This window comes from Homo sapiens, chromosome 8 (assembly GCF_000001405.40).
Source record: "Homo sapiens chromosome 8, GRCh38.p14 Primary Assembly".
Lineage (NCBI taxonomy): Eukaryota > Metazoa > Chordata > Mammalia > Primates > Hominidae > Homo > Homo sapiens.
The window spans coordinates 76,158,103-76,180,198 of NC_000008.11; the positions used below are offsets into that span (position 1 = coordinate 76,158,103).

The 22,096-nt window shown below is 35.0% G+C and overlaps 1 long non-coding RNA gene across 5 annotated transcripts in view; it reads right to left on the reverse strand.

Annotated features, from left to right (window-relative positions):
• LOC102724858 (uncharacterized) overlaps positions 1 to 22,096 on the reverse strand; it is a 175,348-nt gene that overhangs the window by 24,830 nt on the left and 128,422 nt on the right. For 3 of the 5 annotated variants that reach the window (XR_929061.3, XR_007060968.1, XR_001745961.3), the window contains exon 3: positions 4,859 to 4,912. This is a non-coding gene — a long non-coding RNA (uncharacterized LOC102724858). Of the gene's footprint in view, positions 1 to 362; positions 4,913 to 22,096 lie in introns of those variants that run through there. The other 2 variants (XR_929062.4, XR_007060967.1) reach the window with 2 other exon arrangements.

Consider the following 22,096-nt stretch of genomic DNA (forward strand, 5'->3'; position numbering starts at 1 on the left):
TGGTTTTATAACGGGCTTCTTCTGCTTTGCTCAGCACTTCTCCTTGCTGCTGCCATGTGAAGAAGGACTTGTTTGCTTTCCCCTCTACCATGACTTTAAGTTTCCTGAGGCCTCCCAAGCCCTGCAGAACTGTGTATCAATTAAACCTCTTTCCTTTATAAATTACCCAGTCTCAGTTATGTCTGTATTAGCAGCATGAGAATGAATGAATACAAAGAGTATTAAGTCTTAGCTATTATTATTTTAATAATAAGATGCAATAATAATACAAAATAAGTCTTAGCTATTATTATTTTATTAACCTCATCTGAAACAAATGCACATTAACCAACCTCACAGAAATAAATGCCTAAATGCATAAATCTGGAATGTCCACATGTTTATTCACCATAAGGGATACAATCTTGGGATTAACAATACTGCTATTTAGATAAACCAACAGAGAAGGCAAATTGTAATCTGAAGTTGGTTTAATGAGTCCAAATCAAGAAAGAGCAGAGATAAATCAAAGTATGTCCATGATTCAGGGTTTCTTTCAACTAAATCCTTGTTATTCAAAGTGGACAAGCTGTATCAGCATCACTTGGAAGCTTATTATGCAGAGGGTCAAGCCCCACTCTAGACCTTCACATGAGAATCTGAATTCTTCTGTGATTCCTCAGGTGATTTGCATGCATATTTAAGTTTGAGAAGTACTACCTTTGACAGAACTTAAAAGAATGCAAGTGCTTTGCCCAGGTGTACAAGTTTGCCTTCAGTAACAAATTTCTTTCTCTGCTTTTGTAACTGAAACACCACCATCATCTATTCATTGATACATTCTTTACATATATCAATGCCTTGTAAAAAGAATGTTTCTAGACACCGTCCCTTTGAAGTGAAATGGCATGAGTAGGCACTGATTGCCATGCGTGATTCGAAGTTTAACTCTCATTGCACATTCTTAAGTTCTTCAATGTTAAGCTGATGAAGAAAAGAGAAGGCTTTACTTACAAAGGTCTAGAAATAATTACAAAGACAGACATCCAGAAATCATGTATTCACTTCATTTCTTAGTAGCTTCACTAAATTCTATTATTAATTGAATATTTCAAAACAAACCCTATAAGAAAACTCAGACAATGAAAATTAATTAATACCATTAGTTGTAATAAAGCTAAATATCAAATTTTCTATGGGAAATAAAACGAAACCGTATGGAAAACATTTTTTCAGATGGAACAATAATCATTGGAGTATGCTTTTTGAAGGGAGACCAAATATCCAAGTATAAATTTAGCTTCTTCAATGGAAATGCACCCACTAATGTACTTAAAAATTAAGTACATTGCTATTCTATGATTGTATTCAAAGGGGGTAGAGTCAAAGACTCTAGAGAATTCCTAGAGATGCTAAGACATTAACAATAGTTCAGTGAATTAAAATATTTGAACATTATTTCAACACATACTTATTGAATAACTATTGTGGAAGGTCCTCTACTACTTGCACTTGGTCAAATGCAGGCTTCCCTAAAGAACCAACACCAGGTGAGCCTGTTCAGATGACAAAGCTAAGTTTTTAACAAATGAGAGCACTACCTTGCAGAGTCTTCTGGCCTCCTGAAAGAGGAATAGCAAAGTTAGGATATTTATGAGGTTTCAGACTCCGATTTATGGAGGGTTTTTCAATGCAGTGGTGGTAGGGGAAGGGATGACTAGAATTGAAAAAGAACTATGATATAATAGCTTATATTAGTGAGAAGGCTTTGAAGTGAGGGTTTACAGAGCTTTGAAGACTTTTCACATGATTCTATTACCCATTGGAAAGCCTAACCGTCTGATGTTCATTTAAATGGTTTTTCCAGGAAGCTTCTAAATGAACAATATAATTACTTGCAACCTGGGCAAGAGGTTCCTGGAATAGCAAACTTGGGTTGATGAAGGCAGTGGAATAGTAAAATGACATTGGTGAAGACAGCCTAATGGTGGAGTAGAGTTCTGTTAATACAGATAATAAGTTGCATGTGGCAGATGGTTTTATCTTTCATTTTAGTGATTCAAGGATGCATAGGACATAGTCACTATTCTAAGAGTATACAATAGAATGTGAAAGTTTATTAACTACTAAAATGGATTTGTATTGATTATAAAATAGATGGTTATTGATAAAAAGTAGAGAGGAATATAAACAAGAAAATAAGTCAACAAATTCCACTAATTTGACAGAGCATTCCTCGCATTTTGATGTTTCTATGTTGTATTTACATGTGTTCAGCTTATATATATTCTATATTCATATGATAAAATATACATATTTTATAATCAAAACTTGGGGCCATGTTATCGATTAACTTTGTAGCCAGTTATTTTACTTAATTCAAAAGTCTATGAACATTTTCTAATGTTATTCAATATTATTGGCAAACTTCTCTCAGATATATTTTATTTTTTGCCAAAATGATTTGAGTAGTTATCATTGGAATCAGATTTTGCACTTAATTCAGGATTCCAGTCACATAGGATAGAAGACTACAGGAAGGAGTGAATAGACTCTCAAACATATTACAAATAAAATTAAAATTTTAAAAATTTGAAAAGCTACAGAGAGATTTGATTTGTAAAGTTCTAAGTTTTGTTTATTGACATTAGCAGTTTAGAATCCAGGCTCTAGGAAAGGAATCAGTTGGCAGGGTGGTGAATTTCTCCCAAAGAAATGGAGTACCTTCCAAATAGGAACCCAGGGACTACAGTAGATTTCGAAGTTATAGCTCCCCCAATCATGTTTTAGTTCACGTAGTAAACCTTTGAAAACTGTCATGGATTACGTGAAATTCTGAAGAAACTGAGTCTTCCTTTCTCTCCCTTGTCAATCACTCCCACTTTGATTATGTTTTCCTCTAGACTAAGGCTTTGGATGCCCAGGGGACACTATTGTTGTTTTTCTTTCTGTGGGCATAAAATAGAAAACCAAGAGCAGACAATATACTGAATTGTAAGAATTGGTTAATCTCATCTTAATGAAAGATAATTTGATTATCATTAAACTGATAGGTCTTTTATAAGGAGAGAACTGAACATTGGTAGAAAAAAAAGAATAAATAACAGTAGGTTCGGCAAATGTACTCCCATATAACCAGAGCACAATTTAAAATATTCCAAGAATGTGAGTATAATTTTTGGCGAGACATTAAAATAGTTTCACTCAGATGTCTTGAACCATAGTTTGGATTTTAAAAAAAAAGAATATTTCAAAATACTTTTAGAACAGGAATAGTAAAATAAAAGTCAATAGAAATTATTAATAAGGAGCATAATTATGATGTGAGACTGATAATGCAGTAGTGTTCCCTCATCTGCAGTTTCAGTTTTTGCAGTTAACTATGGTCAAAATATTAAATGGAAAATTTCAGAAATAAGTAATCCATAAGTTTTAAATTGCACAGCATTCTGAGTAGCTTAATGAAATCTTGTACTGTCCCAATCTGTTCTACCTAGGACATGAATCAGCCCTTTGTCCAGCGTATCCACACATTACCTGGCTGTTAGTCACTTAGCAGCCCTCTCTGTATCAGAGGGGAAAAATATAGTATATGTAGAGTTTGGTACAATCTGCAGTTCCAGGCATCCCCTGGACATCTTGGAATGTATTCCCTGTGGATAAAGGGGGACTACAGTACCAGCATTCTGCCAATCTGATAAACAAATTAATAAAAATAAACTCTACAATATAGCAAATAAAAAGAAGAATGAGGAGTACTAATCCTGTGAAAGAAAGGTATATAATGAACAAGAACAAAGCCAAGAGTACAGAAAAAATTATTGCTGCTTAATCATACATAACTGTGATAAAACCTCAAGTGAATAGAAAAATAAATACGTTAAAAGAGATGGCGGTGGTAATTAGTATAATATGAATTATAACCAGTGATCAGAATTATATTTGTAGTAGAAGGTGGAAATAAAGGGGATGATTCAGAATATTCTGTGAACGGTAGAAAATAAAACAAAAACAACTAAGAATTAAGTGAACAAATCTTTTTTTTTTTTACATGTACACTAAAACTTAAAGTATAATAATAACAAAATTTTTTAAAAAGTGAAAAAATCTAAACGAAGAACAAGGAAGCTTTATTATAATGAGAAAGGATTGAAATTGATTTAAGGAAGTAGAAAGTAAAGTACTAATGTAAGAGCAAAGTGTTATATAAGATCGTCTACTGTATGCATCCTGGCATTTTTAGTTTTAAAAAAGCAAAACAATATTCTTTGGAAAAATAGCCACAGCATATGAATAGAATATGAAACATGAAAAACAAATATCTAGAATAATAAAATTTTTTCCTGCCACCATTTAAAAAATACATATTTTTGCAGTACTAATCACAACATTTCTTGCTGTATTTCTTTGCTTATTAAAATTCATTTTAGAAATGAATTCCTAAAATGTGACTGGAACATATGTTTAAAAAAGCATTGAGATTTAGATTTTTGGAAAAATAAGTGAGTTGAATTTTATTTTATGATTGATTAATAAAATTGGTTTAGAGCAATTGTCTTCTGATAGTTCAAGGCAAGTTGAAGTGTATATTATTCAAGAAACTCGTTCACATTAAACATTTGGATGTTGAATTTAACTCTAGGTGTTATCTTCACAGATCAGTAAAAGATGACAGAGTTCTCTCTAAAATGTGCTCAGTTTAAATTAAACCAACATTCTTGGTTTCCCAAAATAGCACAACTTTTATTTGACACTTCTATAAAAATTATACTCTCTAATTGTTGCATTTAATTTTGTGCTCCAAATCATACCAAGCACTATAAAACAGTAATTGTTCTCAATAAAAAACCCAAGCTACAGAGGGGCCAGAAATACTCACTGGTATATAATAGTTTATCAGTTATCTTCATCCTTAGCCAGGCTGCAGAATGATCTAAAGAAAGAACCAAAAATTATAAGAATTAAATATATTGCTTTATATTATGTTTATAATTTTTTATTATACTTTGAGGAAAATATGAATATATCTTAAAATGTAAACTTTTTGGACATTTATTGACACATTTCTCTCCAAAATGTAAAAATCAGTTTTGCAAAAATATAAAAGAGCAGATATTTACTTTTTGTAAGAATACAATTTTAAATTGCAAGCTTGTATGTGAAGAATAAAACAAAAATAACACTACATGTATCCATCCAAAAGGAGAGTAAATCAATTCATTTAAATATAACTCTAACCTGAGACTCTATGACTTTAAAATTAACTATAATTTATGTCATATTCTTTGATACTATTAAACCTAAATAAGAATTTTAAAATATGTAAATATGAATATTAATATTTATGTTTATTTTTAGAAGTAATTATCTTAAGTCAGAACACATAAACTCCTCTGTCTTCCTTGGCAATGCCCATGAAAGGGCCGTTTATCTGCTAGATTTCATCCTGTCTGTTTTCAGACCCCTTGACAAGCCTAACATCATTAAAAGAGATTGAATGTATTCATTCACTGTCAGTCAGAACACAATGGCAAACCTCAGCATAACTAGAAAAAAACTAATGTCATAAAAACAGGAGACAAAGAAGAAATTCAAGATGCCCCCAAATTGTTATGAGAGAAATTAGCATAAATACTTGGGAATAACTGGAAAAAAATAAGCAAAACTGGAGGAATCTCAGAGACACTGGTGTTAAGATGGGGAGAGAGACAAGAATGAGAAGAGACAACTAATAGATCTTGGTTTTCAACATGTATTCTGGCTAAACAGAAAAACATTGCACACATGACTCCTGGGGGCTGAATTAATTAAACTTTTATGTTATTTTATTTTTCTCCTTAATTAGTTTGCTAGTTACACATATTTTATTTTTCAGTGATTATGAAAAGAATTACAATTTAAAACTTTGATTTATCAATCTCTAATTTATATTAGTATGGTACTTTTACAACTTCCAAGATAGTGTACCATAGAACATTCTAATTCTACTTAGCCCTATTTGATTTTTATGTTGTTGAGTGTTTTTATTTTGTATAAAATTTAAACTTCACAAGCTATTATTTTCATTATGTGTTTTATTCAGTATTTATTTATTGACCCACATCTTTATGCTTTTCATTTCTTTTCTTGTTTTCAAGTTTCCATATTGTATTATTTTTCTTCTGATTAAATAACTTCCTTTACTTTTTTTCCCTAGTGCAGGTCCCCTGGAAATCAATTATTAATTTAAATATGTGTGTAATGTCTTTAATTTTCCATAATTTTTGAAAATATTTTTGGATATTTAAGTGTAAGCTAACAGTTATTTTCTTTCAGTATTTTGAAGGTTTCCATCGTCTCCTAGCTTCCTTTTCTTGTTGTTAGTCAGGAGACAGTTTTATTCTTGCTTATTTGAAAGTGCTATACGTTTTCTATGTCTGTTTTTTGTTGGTCTTTACAAGTTTTATTATTATGTGCTTTTATGGTTTTTGTTGTATTTATCATGTTTGGGTTTCCGAAGGTTTACTCATTGCATGGCTGTTTCTTTCATCAGTTTTGGAAAATTCTCCACCAAACACTGATTCTGTCCCACTCTCCTCATCTAGTACTCCAATGGGATGTATTAGATCTTTTCACTGTGTTGAATTAGTAGTCTATTAGTATTTCAGTTTGGGTATTTTCTCTAACCCATCTTGTAGTTCACTAATTCTATTTTTTTCTATGTCTAGTATGCAGTTAGCTCCAACCACTAACTTCTACATTTAGATATGTATTTTTCTCTTTAAAAATTTCTATTTTTTATGATTTTATATTCTCTGTACACATTCTTTTTGTCTTTTAATCTTTTGAACATATTTTAAAGATATATTTTAAAGGCCATGCCCGATAACTCCATTATGTAGAGCCTTTATGGATCTGTTTCCATTACCTACATTTTCTTTCCTTCTCTCTGTCTCTCTCTCCGTGTGTGTGTGTGTGTGTGTGTGTGTGTGTGTGTGTGTGTTTTGCTCAAGTCTTATATATTTATATGCCTAAGATTTTTTTATTGACTTTTGGTTCTGGTGTATAAAATATTATTGAAAAAGTATAAGGCTCAGGATCATCTTATCTTGTCCTAGAAATAATACACTTTTTATTTTGTCAGTTGGTTCAAGGCCATATTCCCTAAATCTAATTATGGATAGAGATGACTCAAAGTTGTGTTTTTTACTTGTTAGGACAAGTCCATTCACCATTTACAGACCCCAGACTCCAATTTTTGTTTATTCTACCACCATAAGATTGCTGAATATAACCTCAGTTCCTCAATCTCTTTACCACAACTTTTACTTTTTATCTGAGAGGTAAAATTAGTGACACACACTGAGTTTAACTCGCTAGACCATTTTTTCCCCTATATTGTGACCCCTCAAATTATGAATTCACAGACACATTTTACAATTGTGCATCTTTACTTAATGTACAGCTGGATGGTTAGTTGAAGATCACTATGTCTACCATTTCCAGAAATAAATCACTTTGCTCATGCATTGTGGAAACTCCTGGCAACAGATTATTAAAAACCTGAACTCATTGTCCCAAGATTTCCTACTCTGTTTCTTCTAAGATCCATAATGTCATTGTGGAAAAAGCAATGCAGCAACTCCTCAGGATCACCACAATAAATGGTAGGCTGTGAAATCCAGGAAATGAGGAGACAGCTGCATTTTATGCATACAGTTTTTCTAAAAACCAACATAAAAATTATACATACATTCAGTACTCAGAGATGAGTTTCTAGACATGACCCCTAAGCTTAGCTACTTAAATCAGATGACAGTGTCTCACAGGACAACACTAGTTACAAATATAACTTCCATTCCAAATATGTATTTCAATATATATCTACACAGAAGCTGGAGATCTTTTGCAAAGAAATACTGAATGGTTTACTTTTCAGCATCATTATTTTCTGAAAACTAGTCAGATTCCTGAGCCATATACTAGAATAGACTTACATTCGCAAAAACATATATACACACTTCAAACTACTTTTAGAGAAAAAAATATCACAAGACTGTGCCCCTGCACTCAAGGCAATTGGACCTCTAATATTTTCCTGAGTTTTTTTTTTTTCTGTATTTTCTATAACTCACTTAGAATTTTTTGTTGTTGTTATTCTTTTCTCCTGTACTTTATTTTATTCCCATTTTAGTACTGACAACATTGTTTATAATACTTTTTTTGTAACATGCCCACTCTGCAGACAGTAAGCTGGCAAACAAAGAGATTAAGTCTTTATAAAATTTTATAACACTGTGAATTTATAAAAATGTCCTTTATCAAGACGATTAGTAATACACATTTGTTAATGAAATAGATGAATGTGTGGGTTGAATTTACTTATTCACCCCACACATTCATCCATTGTGATGGATGAATGGATGAATGTGGAGGAATTCTTCCTTCTAATTTTATTGAAAGTGTGGATACATGATTTAAAAAATAAGCATTTAATGCTTTTAAAAAATCATTTCCTGGTCCTTAGATCTTTACTTCTGTTCCTGTACAAAGAAATCTTCCAGTCTTTACAGCTTCTTGCTCTCTTACTACACCATGTAGTAAGTATTTTCTTGCCTGAGATCTATGGTACAAGTTCTTGCTTTTCCATCCACTATTTGGACATGTGATGTGCTAATGACCTAGGCTGTTGGCAAATTGGGTATGACTGTTGGTAAGAGTATCAATTTGTCTTCATGCAGGAAAATTTGGCAACATCTGTTAAAATACCCAAATACACACACATTGATTTACGTTTAAGAAGGTTTGCTACAACACAATATGAAATGGCAAAAATGAAGCCACATAAGAATGTTGAAAAAATTTTGATACAACAACATTTTGTAACATTATGCAAAATTCAGTGTCCTGACATGAGGGTATCTTCACAATATACTGTTAACTAAAAAATCCAAAAGTAGAAAGTTATCTATAGTTATCATGTGTATAAATTATAAAAACCCATGCAGATAAAGTGTGCATGAATGTACACTGTCAAAAATTTTGAAAATTGAACATAAAAATGTTAACTGTGGCTGCTTTGGGGAAGAGTAGTAGGGTAGGACTTTTGAATGTAGAGTCCTTTCCTTTAAGTTAACATATGCCTGCAATATCTGAATGTTTTCAAGGATTGTGGATTGTTTTCATAACACAAAATAGATTGAGACTGTTTAGAAACTAAGCTTCAGTTTAAGTGCCATAAATATAATAGAAAGAAGACTTTTTAATATTGATGATAAATTTAGGGAGGGTTTGGGAGTTCCCGAATATCTTCAACTAGTCACAACAGTGTTTCTCCCACATCAACACAGGGAGGGGAACAACACACACCAGAGCCTGTTGAGGGGTGGGGGATGAGGGGAGGGAACTTAGAGGACAGGTCAATGGGTGCAGCAAACCACCATGGCACACGTATACCTATGTAATGAACCTCCACATTCTGCACGTGTATCTCGGAACTTAAAGTAAAAAATTTTTTTAAAAGTGTTAAAAAAAAAACAGTGTCTCTCAAATTTCAGCAAAAAAGGCTTATGACTCAAGGAAAGAAAATTATCACAGTTTTCCAGACAATTTCTGCAAAAGGAAAGATTACTCAGAATTATCTAGGCAATAACCCTATTTTTCCACTTCCTCAGACCGTGGGAAGTAGGATAGGCTGAAATTTAAGTGTCTCTAATACAGTCATAAATGTTCTGCAACTTACATTCCATGCTTAATAGGAACTCTTTCTGCCTAAGTAATTACTTATCTCTGGGTGATAGAATCATCTGTTCTTTGGAATACCATTACTGGTGCTATTACATCTCTTAAGAAGCTTTTGTTTTATAAAATCAAAATAGGCCTGGCACAGTGGCTCAGGCCTGTAATCCCAGCGCTTTGGAAGGTCAAGGGAGAAGGCAGGAGGATCACTTGATTCCAGGAGTTCAAGGCCAGCCTGGGCAATATGGTGAAACTGCATCTGTACATTTTTTTTTTTTTTAATTAGCCGGGTATGGTGGTGTGTTCCTGTAGCCTCAGCTACTCAGGAGGCTAAGGTGGGAAGATTGCTTGAGTGCTGGAGTTTGAGGATGCAGTGAACGGTGATTGCACCATTGCATTCTACCCCGGGTGAGAAAAGTGATACCCTCATTTCTAAAACAAATAATAATAACAAAAATAAATCAAATCTAATTAAAATAGACAAAAGGTAATCAATCTATTAATCAGTCAATGTTACAAAATGGAAACTATAAGACCCAAATAAGTGGTCACGGGTTCAGGATTTTTTTTGAATAAAGCAGATAACTTCATTATGAAAGGAGGAATATAAGAGTTAATCTGGATGCTTTAATGTAAGTTAAGTAATCCACCTAGTATGTCTGTTTTCTTTAACTTTTTACACTGATCATAAATTTGTCTACCATTAAAGTCTTTGTTTTAGTGATTGCATTTTTAAAATTTTCACAATTATTTGTTGCAATCATTTATAAATTGAAAATATTCAACTTTACAACTGCATTTTAAAGTATAGATATGGCTTGTTTTGCTGGAAATATAAAGCCAACATTTTCCCCCTACCTTCCCCCTGGTAATAAGTTAAAATAATTTATGTATTCACACATTAAATGAATATGTAACAAGTATCTATGCACAATGTGTAAAGTAAATTAAATATGTATCAAGCATCTATACATTGGGCAATCTTCTAGATGTTGAAAGGGATGCCAAGGGACAAACAGGAAAGCACACCATGAAAAGTGATGTAAAAGAGGCTCTGAAAATTCAACTATTAGCATCATGGAGCTTTTTTTTTTTTTTTTTTTTTTTTGAGATGGAGTCTCACTCTGTTGCCCCGACCAGAGTGCAGCGCGGCTATTTCAGCTCACTGTAACCTCTACCTTCCGGGCTCAAGTGATTTTCCTGCCTCAACCTCCTGAGTAGCTGGGATTACAGGCACGCGCCAGCATGCCTGGCTAATTTTTCTATTTTTAGTAGAGACAGGGTCTCATTGTGGTGGCCATGTTGGTCTGGAATGCCTGACCTCATGATCTGCCAGCCTTGGCCTCCCAAAGTGCTGGGATTACAAGCATGAGCCACCGCGCCCGGCCCATGGAGCTTTTTTTCCTCCCAATTCTATCAACTGTATCCTTCCAGTTAATTTTACTTTTTGATGAACTTGAAACTACTAGTAAAAAGAGGGCTGGGTAAACATTTCAGCCTCAAGAGTAGGTAGTATTAGGAGTAGATTAAGAGGGAAATGTGCCAATGCATTAAGCCAAAAATCTGGTGAACAAGAGAAAGTGTGCCTTGCCCTTCATATCACATTATAATAATATTTAACAATGAAGGTTAGAGGTGACAGCGTGCTGGCAGTCCTCAGAGCCCTCACTTGCTCTTGGCACCTCCTCTGCCTGAGCTCCCACTTTGGCGGCACTTGAGGAGCCCTTCAGCCCACCACTGCACTGTGGGAGCCCCTTTCTGGGCTGGCAAGGCTGGAGCCCACTCCCTCAGCTTGCAGGGAGGTGTGGAGGGAGAGGGGCGAGCGGGAACCGGGGCTGCGTGCGGCGCTCGCGGGCCAGCTGGAGTTCCAGGTGGGCGTGGGATTGGCGGGCCTGTCACCGCACTGAGAGCAGTGGGCCAGCAGCTGCGGAGGGTGTACTGGGTCCCCGAGCAGTGCCAGCCCACTGGCGCTGTGCTCGATTTCTCACCGAACCTTAGCTGCCTTCCCGCAGGGCAGGGCTCGGGACCTGCAGCCCGCCATGCCTGCGCCTCCCACCCATTCCGTGGGTTCCTGTGCAGCCCGAGCATCCCCGACGAGCGCAGCCCCCTGCTCCACGGTGCCCAGTCCCATCGACCACTCAAGGGCTGAGGAGTGCGGGCGCACGGCACGGGGACTGGAAGGCAGCTCCACCTGCAGCCCCAGTGCATGATCCACTGGGTGAAGCCAGCTGGGCTCCTGAGTCTGGTGGGGCCTTGGAGGACCTTTATGTCTAGCTCAGGGATTGTAAATACACCAATCAGCACTGTGTATCTAGCTCAAGGTTTGTAAACACACCAATCAGCACCCTGTGTCTAGCTCAGGGTTTGTGAGTGCACCAATCGACACTCTGTATCTAGCTGCTCTGGTGGGGCCTTGGAGAACCTTTATGTCTAGCTCAGGGATTGTAAATACACCAATTGACACTCTGTATCTAGCTCAAGGTTTGTAAACACACCAATCAGCACCTTGTGTCTAGCTCAGGGTTTGTGAGTGCACCAATCGACCCTCTGTATCTAGCTACTCTGGTGGAGCCTTGGAGAACCTTAATGTCTAGCTCAGGGATTGCAAATACACCAATCAGCACCCTGGGTTTAGCTCAAGGTTTGTGAGTGCACCAATTGACACTCTGTATCTAGCTGCTCTGGTGGGGCCTTGGAGAACCTTTATGTCTAGCTCAGGGATTGTAAATACACCAATCAGTACTCTGTATCTAGCTCAAGGTTTGTAAACACACCAATCAGCACCCTGGGTTTAGCTCAAGGTTTGTGAATGCACCAATCGACACTCTGTATCTACCTGCTCTGGTGGGGCCTTGAAGAACCTTTGTGTCCATACTCTGTATCTAACTAATCTGATGGGGACGTGGAGAACCTTTATATCTAGCTCAGGTATTGTAAACGCACCAGTCAGCACCCTGTCAAAACAGACCACTTGGCTCTACCAATCAGCAGGATGCGGGTGGGGCCAGATAAGAGAATAAAAGCAGGCTGCCCGCGCCAGCAGTGGCAACCCGCTCGGGTCCCTTTCCACACTGTGGAAGCTTTGTTCTTTTGCTCTTTGCAATAAATCTTGCTACTGCTCACTCTCTGGGTCCACGCTGCTTTTATGAGCTGTAACACTCACTGCGAAGATCTGCAGCTTCACTCCTGAGCCCAGCAAGACCACGAGCCCATCAGGAGGAACGAACAACTCCAGACGTGCTGCCTTAAGAGCTGTAACACTCACTGCGAAGGTCTGCAGCTTCACTCCCGAGCCAGCGAGACCACGAACCCACCAGAAAGAAGAAACTCTGAACACATCTGAACATCAGAAAGGACAGACTCCAGACGCACCATCTTAAGAGCTGTAACACTCACCGCGAGGGTCTGCAGCTTCATTCTTGAAGTCAGTGAGACCAAGAACCCACCAATTTCGGACACAAAGTCACCCTTATTACATGTGTTTCAGACACATTTTAAGTAGTTTATTAATTTCAACTCTTTTAACTAAGCTATGCAGAATAAGTCTTAAGTAGGCATTATCATTCCCTTTTCCAAATGAGAAAATTGAGGCACAGAAAGGTAGATAATTTGCTGCAAGTTACACAGAACAGGATCCATATTCATATCCGTATTCAGTCTAGCCTGAGTCCAGGATCTTAATCCTTATGTAACACTGTAAATGATATTCCTTTCAAAAAAGAGTAAAATAATTAGTGTATTGTGCTTTTCTCTTCCTTCTAACATTTGAAGAAATCACTTTATCAATCTTAATCCTAAATGGTAAGCTCTCAACATTAGCAATTTAGTGCTTTTGAATTATTACATCTACTATGGTGATTCTTGTAGTGTATGGCATGAAAACATATTAGCTGATTGATAAAAAATCATTACCATTTGACTTCTTACACTGAAAATTGGAAATAATCTGATAATTGTTAACACTGATTTCTCACTGGGTGACTCAGAGCCATGAAGAAACTTGGAAATTTGCATGTCTCTTGTAGGAAAACTATTCACACTAATTTTAACATGGCTCAGTGAAGTGAGCCAAGTGAAGAAGCCTTGGCTGTATAATGAGACTGCACACAAAACTCAAGGGTATTCAACTTTAAATCAAGTCAGAAAATCTCCATGCAAGAGGTAGTGAAACCAGGTAGAACATTCAGACCTGCTTCTCAGATCACCGAACTATGTCTTAGGAGAGCAGAGTCCAGGGTCTGGGATGTCTGACTCTGTGCCTCTACTGGAAATGCACTATGGAAAGATCTGCCCCTCACTTCATCTCAATTCTCACACTTACCTCCATGTCTCCATTTGTCAATATCAATGTTAAGACCTTGCTCATTTAGGATTTTTCAAAATGCGGCTGACAATATTTGCAAGATTTGTTATAGATTATTAGATTCGATATGTACCCTTCTACACCAGAATCTTCTACCAATTACTAGTGCCATACATGTATGTAACATCGTCCTTAAAGTAAGTTAGTGAATAAGACTGCCATTAGGCCTATGTAGTTGCTGGTAAGAAATCGAATCAAACAAGTCAATACATCATGTTGTTCTAAATATTTATTATGTACCTTAGGAAAAATGATATTGAGGTATTGTTATGAAATTGTTCAAGGATTATAGAACTTTTGTTAAACCCAAGTATTTTCTAAATATCTTAGGAAAAGATTATTCATGAAGTCAGTGTATGTGCACAACTTAGGATATTACTGTATACATTCAGCAGATATTACTTAAGGACACACTGTCAAATGACTGTTATCATTAGTTGGAGAGGTCTAGGGGATTAGCTATTTGACTTAGAAAAATGTGAAATTTATACTTTCAAAGTTATGGCACAAAGGCACATCAAACCAAAACAAGTACATTAGAGTATTCAAGAACCATATTCTAATGGTTTCCTTTTTAGTTTTCTTTAAATAAAAATTTCATGACAGTAGAAAGAGCTCTGGTGAATGCAAAGATGAAGACTATTATTTGCCCTCTTCTTACAGTGTCTCACCAAGGTATTTAGAAAGCCTGGTGAGTCTGTTATCCAAACACTTTGTAGTCCCAGCTCAGCGGGCTTTCACCCCCTCTGTGCCAGGTTGCCCTGCCTCTCCTGTGGCTACACTGTTTTTCGACTGTCATTTTTATTGAAAAATAAAAGCTAAATTGGAGTTTCAGAATACCTTCCATTTAACTCCTTTAATAAAACGGGAAAGATAAAAGCAACCTAGTCACAAGAGAAGTGTTTTTGAAAGCTATGCCTTGGATATCAGAGATGCAGAAATAAAAGGCTGCTTCAAAAATAGAGCCCACTGGCCTAGCGCTGGCCCTCTGCAGCTCTTCTCCTGTGCTAGACCGGCTTTTAGCTTTAATTTTTTATTCAAGAAGTTAAATGGGAGACGTGAAATAGTTTGGATCAAATATCCCAACAAATGGAAAACGGGCAGCAGATGACTCTTTTAAATGCATTATTCTTATGCACCTGAGCCAGACAACTTCGTCAAGCAATTTTGCACATGCCTGATAGAAAAGAGAATATTATTCATATTTCTGTACACAGAGAACTCTTTTTTCCACTAATCCCATGGGAAGAATAGTATTTCTCAAAGCCTGTCCCACTTAAAATAAGCATCAACACAATAAATGCTCTGAGGAGTCCCATGCTAAAGAGAAACAAAATAAACAAAACTGTATAATTTTGTATTTGCCTAATCCATTTGTCTGTTAATTCCTTTAAAACTTTATATGTATTAATATCCCAAGATTCTTATCTAGAGATTGTATGATCTTGATCCTCAGTCACACTAGAAACATAGTTAAAAAATATTTTCAAAAGAAGGCATCCCTTTAGCTGTGTAATTATAGCTCTGTTTAATGCATTTATGCTGATTATTGAATTAAGACCTACCATAGATCAAACATTTGAGGTAACAGTAGTATCTAATTGCAAATTGGCTGAGAGAGATTCGTGTTTAAGATAGCATAATTCAAATGTTAATTGATAGTAATTTTCAATAATTAAACTGACAAATGTAACTAAAGAGAATATGGAAGAGGAAGCAGTAGGATTTGGCAAAGGAAAAGATTGATAAAGTCCTTAAAGTTTAAGAAACATTTGATTTTACTATGAAATAGGTCATTTAGCTCTACACTGTTCAATAACCCCCATGCTCTATTCCATTGTCCCTATAATGTTCAGCTAATGCTTTAATGAAAGTGACTCTAAAATACCACTATTTGTCTTTTGCCCTCTTAATTAAAGCAAAAGACACAACTTGGGATTGTAATATTCCCTTCTGGCTCTTACATATCTTTAAATATAATTTTTTTCAAAGAAGAACACTTTCAGTCATTTCACATTATTCTAACCAATTAAAGAGAAATGAGAAAATGGAAGTTATAATGATGTTAAGTATATCTCCCAGGATAAGTCCGTGTTGATGAAGAACGACCTGTGAAGAGACAACTGCTCTCCACCACTGCCAGATTCTGAGGGGTATGCTAAAAGCTTTCTAGTGGCCTTCAATCAGAACTGCCTCATTATTGTGAGCATGGTATTATTTTAAATTAGCTTTTTATATTTAATTAAATAACAGCTAGTCTAAAAAGTACCTCTTATTTTCCATGCCAGCATTTTGTATGACTACCTTCAAAATAAATTTCATAGAATAGGCAAAGAATAAACAGAAAGCAATTACTTTTTCTACATAGAGAAAAAGGAAAGAATGGGGGTAAATTTGGCAGCCTGTCTTTTGATCCCATGAAACAATCTCTTTTTTCAAAAGCACCATTATGCTTAATAATTACATAATTTTCCCTAGGCTCCAATAAAAAAGCAGAGAAGAATATTTCAACAATGCTAAGATGTAAATAGCATTACTATTGTCTTATGATCTTCAATAGCATATAACTGATCTGACCCAAATTGTGATCCTTACCAAATCGTTTTGCCCATTGAAGGATTCACTTACTTTCTTGCTTTAATATTCTTCATTGTGTTCCCTGGCCAGAGACAAAAGGATAATTTTGAAGGCATTGAAGACCATATTGTCTTTCAAGTGTTCATAGAAAAGTTTCCTTGGTAGCAATAACATTGCCTTTGAAAATGCAAAGGAGGTGAGTATAAAATCATGGAAATTCTAGAGTAGCTTAATTTGATATAATGTTTTAAAATATGAAGTAATATCATTATGGTTTTTAGTTTTTGTTTTATTTTTTAAAAGAGAGCATTTTATTTTATTTTTTAAATTAATTAATTTTTTTTTTTTCCAGAAAGAGTCTCGCTCTGTTGCCCAGGTTAGAGGGCAGTGCCGTGATCTCGGCTCAGTTCAACCTCTACCTCTCAGGTTCAAGCAATTCTCATGCCTCAGCCTCCTGAGTAGCCGGGATTACAGACATGTACCACCACGCCCAGCTAATTTTTTATTTTAGTAGAGATGGGGTTTCACCATGTTGGCCAGGCTGGTCTTGAACTCCTGACCTCAGGTGATTGACCCACCTCAGCCTCCCAAAGTGCTGGGATTACAGGCATGAGCCACTGCACCTGGCCAAAAGAGGGAATTTTAGTCCAGATGTGATGGCACTTCTATTTTCAGGATTTGCTAAAATAAAATTCATTCAACATATAAAATAAAGCTTTAAAGTTCCATGTATTAGATCACAACTTGATTAAGATGGTGCCTTTCCTGAATTACTGACATTTTTATTATTTCTAAACTAAAGCACTCTAAATACAATGATTGTTTTTCTCTGTCTACACTGAATATGTACTATATGCTCCAAACCTATCTTACTAATTGAATAGGCAAGTACATATTTGCATATATACAAAGTATATGTACATTGTTATTCTGAAAACATTTTCTCCCTGAAAAGCCACAGGAAAAATGTGTATGAGCTAATTGTACGTTGATGATGCAGAATGGTTATATTTTTCTCTGGTAGCTGAACATGTTTGGTGAGAATCAAATTCTTCAGCAAAGAACACACATTAGAATTAGGCAATATTTACTTTGGCATATGTCCATGATAAATGACACTAGGCATAACTGGTGTCTAAAAATCTCACTGATTAAAAATATTCTGCCAGTTTTCTGATGATATAAGGAGGAAACAAATGCACAAGTTTAGTTTTTTAAGTTTTCTATATTTTGTGTTTTCTAAAATATGATAAAGATAACTCCCAGACTTTCAAATATTAAAAAGACTGATGTGCATTCCTAAAAATGGTAATAATTACCATATTATTTTTTATTTTTAAATTTTATTTCTTTTTTGACACAGTAATTTATGGGGTACATAGTAATGTTGTGATATATGTAATATGTAGTGATCAGATCAGGGTAACTAGCATACCTGTCATCTCAAATGTTTATCATTTCTTGTGTTAGGAACATTCAATATCCCCTTCTAACTATTTGAAAGTATATGATATGTCATTGTCAACTATAGGCATCCTACAATGCTTCAGAACACTAGAACTCTTACCTAGCTGTAATTTTGTATGCTTTAACAATTCTCTCATTACCCTCTCACTAGAAACTAGAGTCTTTAGAATCTTCTGTTCTACTTTTTACTTCTATGAGATCACTGTTTTTTTATTTTTTAGATTCCACATGTGAATGAGAACATGCTATGTTTAACCTTTCTGTTCCTGGTTTATTTCACTTAGCATAATGTCCCCCAGTATTATCCATTTTGCCTTGAATGATGGGACTTCATTAAATTTTGTCTGAATAATATTTCATTGTATATATATAGAGAGAGCACACCTTATCTGTTCAGCTGTTGTTGAACACCTACATAGCTAAGATATCATAATATCTTAGCTATTGTGCATAGTGCTATGACAAAGATGAGGGTGCTGGTGTCTCTTCTATATAATGTTTTTCTTTCCTTTGGATAAATTCCCAGTAGTGGGATTGAAGGATCACATGGTAGTTCTAGCTATAGTTTTTATTTTTTGGAAAGTCCGGACTATTCTCATAGTGGCTGTACTACTGTACTAGTTTACATTCTCTCCAATAGTGTATAAGAGTTCTTTTTTCTCTGCATGCTCACCAGCAAGTATTTTTTTTTTTTTTGTCTTTTTGATAATAGCCATCATAACTGGGGTGAGATGATACCTCATTGTAGTCTTGATTTGCACTTCTCTGATGAAAAGTGGTGTTAAGCATTTTAAAAATATATTTGTCATTTTTATGTCTTCTATTGAGAAACATTCACATTATTTGCCATTTTTTAATTGGATTTTTAAACCGTTAATTTGTTTGTGTTCCTTCTATATTAATCTCCAGTTAGGAGATTAATATACAGTTCATTGGGTAGGTGAAGTGTTTGAAAATACTTCTCCCATCCTGTAGGCTGTCTTTTCTCTTTGTTGATTGTTTTCTTTGCTATGAAGAAGATTTTTAGTTTAATAACATTCCATTTGTTCATTTTTGCTTCAGTTGCCTATGTTTTTGAGATGTTATTCATGAAATCTTTTCCTTGACCAATGTCTTGAAGCATTTCCCCCATGTTTTCTTCTAGTAGTTTTATAGTTTTAGGTCTTACATTTAGGTCTTTTATCCATTTTGTGTTAATTTTTGTACAGGGTAAGAAGTAGGGGTCTTGTTTCATTCTTTTGCAAATGGACATCCAGTTTTCCCAGCACCATTTATTAAAGAGACTATCCTTTCTCCAGTGTATATTCTTGGAGTCTCTGAAAAACATCAATTGGCTGTAGATACATGGATTAATTTCTGTAGATATATGATTAATTTCATGGAACTATTCTGTTCTATTGTTCTATGTTTCTGTTTTTATGCCATTACCATGCTGTTTTGGTTACCATAGTATTGTAGTATATTTTGAAGTCTAGTAGTGTAATGCCTCTACCTTTGTTCTTTTTGCTCAGAACTGCTTTGGCTATTCAGGGTCTCTTATTGTTTCATGCAAATTTTAGATTTTATTTCTGTGAAGGATGTCATTGATATTTTGATAGGGATTGCACTGAATCTGTACATTGCTTTGGATAGTATGGTCATTTTAATTATACTAACTCTTCTGATTCATGAGCACAAAATATTTTTCCACTTGTTTCTATCCTCTTAAATTTCTTTCATCAGAGTTTTGTGGTTTCTCTTGTGAAAGTCTTTTACCTCCTTAAAGAAATTTATTCTCAGGTATGTTATTTTTTTGTAGCTGTTGTAAATGGAATTGCCTTCTTGATTTCTTTTTCAACTAGTTTTTTGTTTAAATTAAACTTTTTTATTTTGAGATAATTTTAGATTTACATGTGGTTTTAAGAAGTAATACAGAAAGTTTTCATGTACCCTTTACCCAGTTTCCTCCAATAGTAACATCTTGTAAAATTACAGTACAGTATTTCAACCAGGATATTGAAATTGACAGTCAGGATATAGAGTATTTTCATCACCTTGGAATTCCCCCATATTGCTTTTTTATACCTATACCTACTTTCCTCCCACTGACACCCTTCCTTAACCTCTGACAACCACTCATCTGTTCTCCATTTTACAATTTTGTCATTTCAATAGTATGATATAAATAAAATCATAAAATATTTAATCTTTTGGAATGGAATTTTCACTCATAAACCTTTAGAAATGTTGCCAGGTTATAGTTCAATCCTTTTTATTGCTGATTAATATTCCATGTTATGAATACCACAGTTTTTTTGTTTTGTTTTTTTTTTGAGATGGAGTCTCACTCTGTCACCCAGGCTGGAGTGCAGTGGCACGATCTCGGTTCACTGCAAGCTCCGCCTCCTGGGTTCACACCATTCTCCTGCCTCAGCCTCCCGAGAAGCTGGGACTACAGGCGACCGCCACCTTGCCTGACTAATGTTTTGTATTTTTAGTAGAGACGGGGTTTTACCATGTTAGCCAGGATGGTCTCAATCTCCTGACCCCGTGATCCACTCGCCTCAGCCTCCCAAAGTGCTGGGATTACAGGTGTGACCCACCATGCCTGGCCGAATACCACAAATTTTTAAACATTTACCTGATGAAAAACATCTTTGTTATTCCCTTTTTTTGCTATTACCAATAAAGCCACTATACACATATTATTTTAGGCTTTTGTGTAAACCTATGGTGTTTTCTCCCCCTCTGAAATAAAAGCCCAGGAATGAAATTGTTGACTTGTATGATAATAATATATTTCATTTCTGTTTGTTTGTTTTTAATAAACTGCCAAACTCATTTTCAGAGTGGCTGTATCATTTTCCGTTCTCACCAGGAACATGAGTGATATAGTTTCTCTGCATCCTTGCCAGCAGTTAGTGTTATGCTTTTTAAAATTTTAGCCATTGTAATAGGTGTGTACTGATACATTATTATGATTTTCATTTTCATTACCTCAATGGCTAATGAAGTAGAATATCTTTTCATGTGCTTATTTTTCATCTCTATATTGTCTTTGTTGAAATATCCTTTATTTTTAGCTCACATCTTCCAATACATAAAAACAACGTTATTCCATTTTAGTATTGTATTTTTTTTGTTTTACTGTTGTTTTTAAAGTTCTTTATATTGTCTAGATATTAGTACTTTGTCAGATATGTGGCTTGCAAATGTTTTTCCCAGTATGAAATTTGTGTTTTTATTCTCTAAACAGGAACATTCACAGAGGCAAAGATTTTAATTTTGATGGCAGCCATCAAAATTATCATTTTTGTCCTTTAATTGATTATACTTTTGATGTCAACTTTAAAAGCTCCTTTCTTAGCCCTAAACCCCAAATATTTTCTTCTATTTTTTCTAAAAGTTTTATATCTTTACATTTTGCATTTAGATCCATGATCCATTTTTTTTGTTAATTTTTGTATAAGGTATGAAAGTTAAATGAAAGTTTTATTGTTGTTGTCGTTGCCTAAGGATATTCAACTGAATTGGCATCATTTGATGAATGACTATCTCTTCTTCACTAAAATGATTTTGCGTAGATCTATTTCTGGGTAGTTTATTCTGCTCCATTGATCCATGTGTCTATCACTAACACTGCACAATCTGTATTACTCCTATCATGAACTAAGTGTCAAATAGGGTAGACTCATTCTTTATGCTTTATTCTTCTTTTCAAAAATTGCTATAGCTATTCTAGTTCCTTTACTATGTTTGAGTCTTCCAATACATATATATAATATGTTTCACCATTTTTTAGACCTTCTTTGATTTTTTTATCAGTGTTTTGGCATATAAGTCTTAAAACAGGTTTTATTGGATCTACATCTAACAATTTTGATTTAAATGGTTGGAAATGATATTATATTTTTTTATTTTGGTGTCCACATGTTAATAGTTATTACATAAAAAATGTATTTTATTTGTACAGGTTTATCTTATATCCTGTGACTGCTGAGTTCACTTATCCGT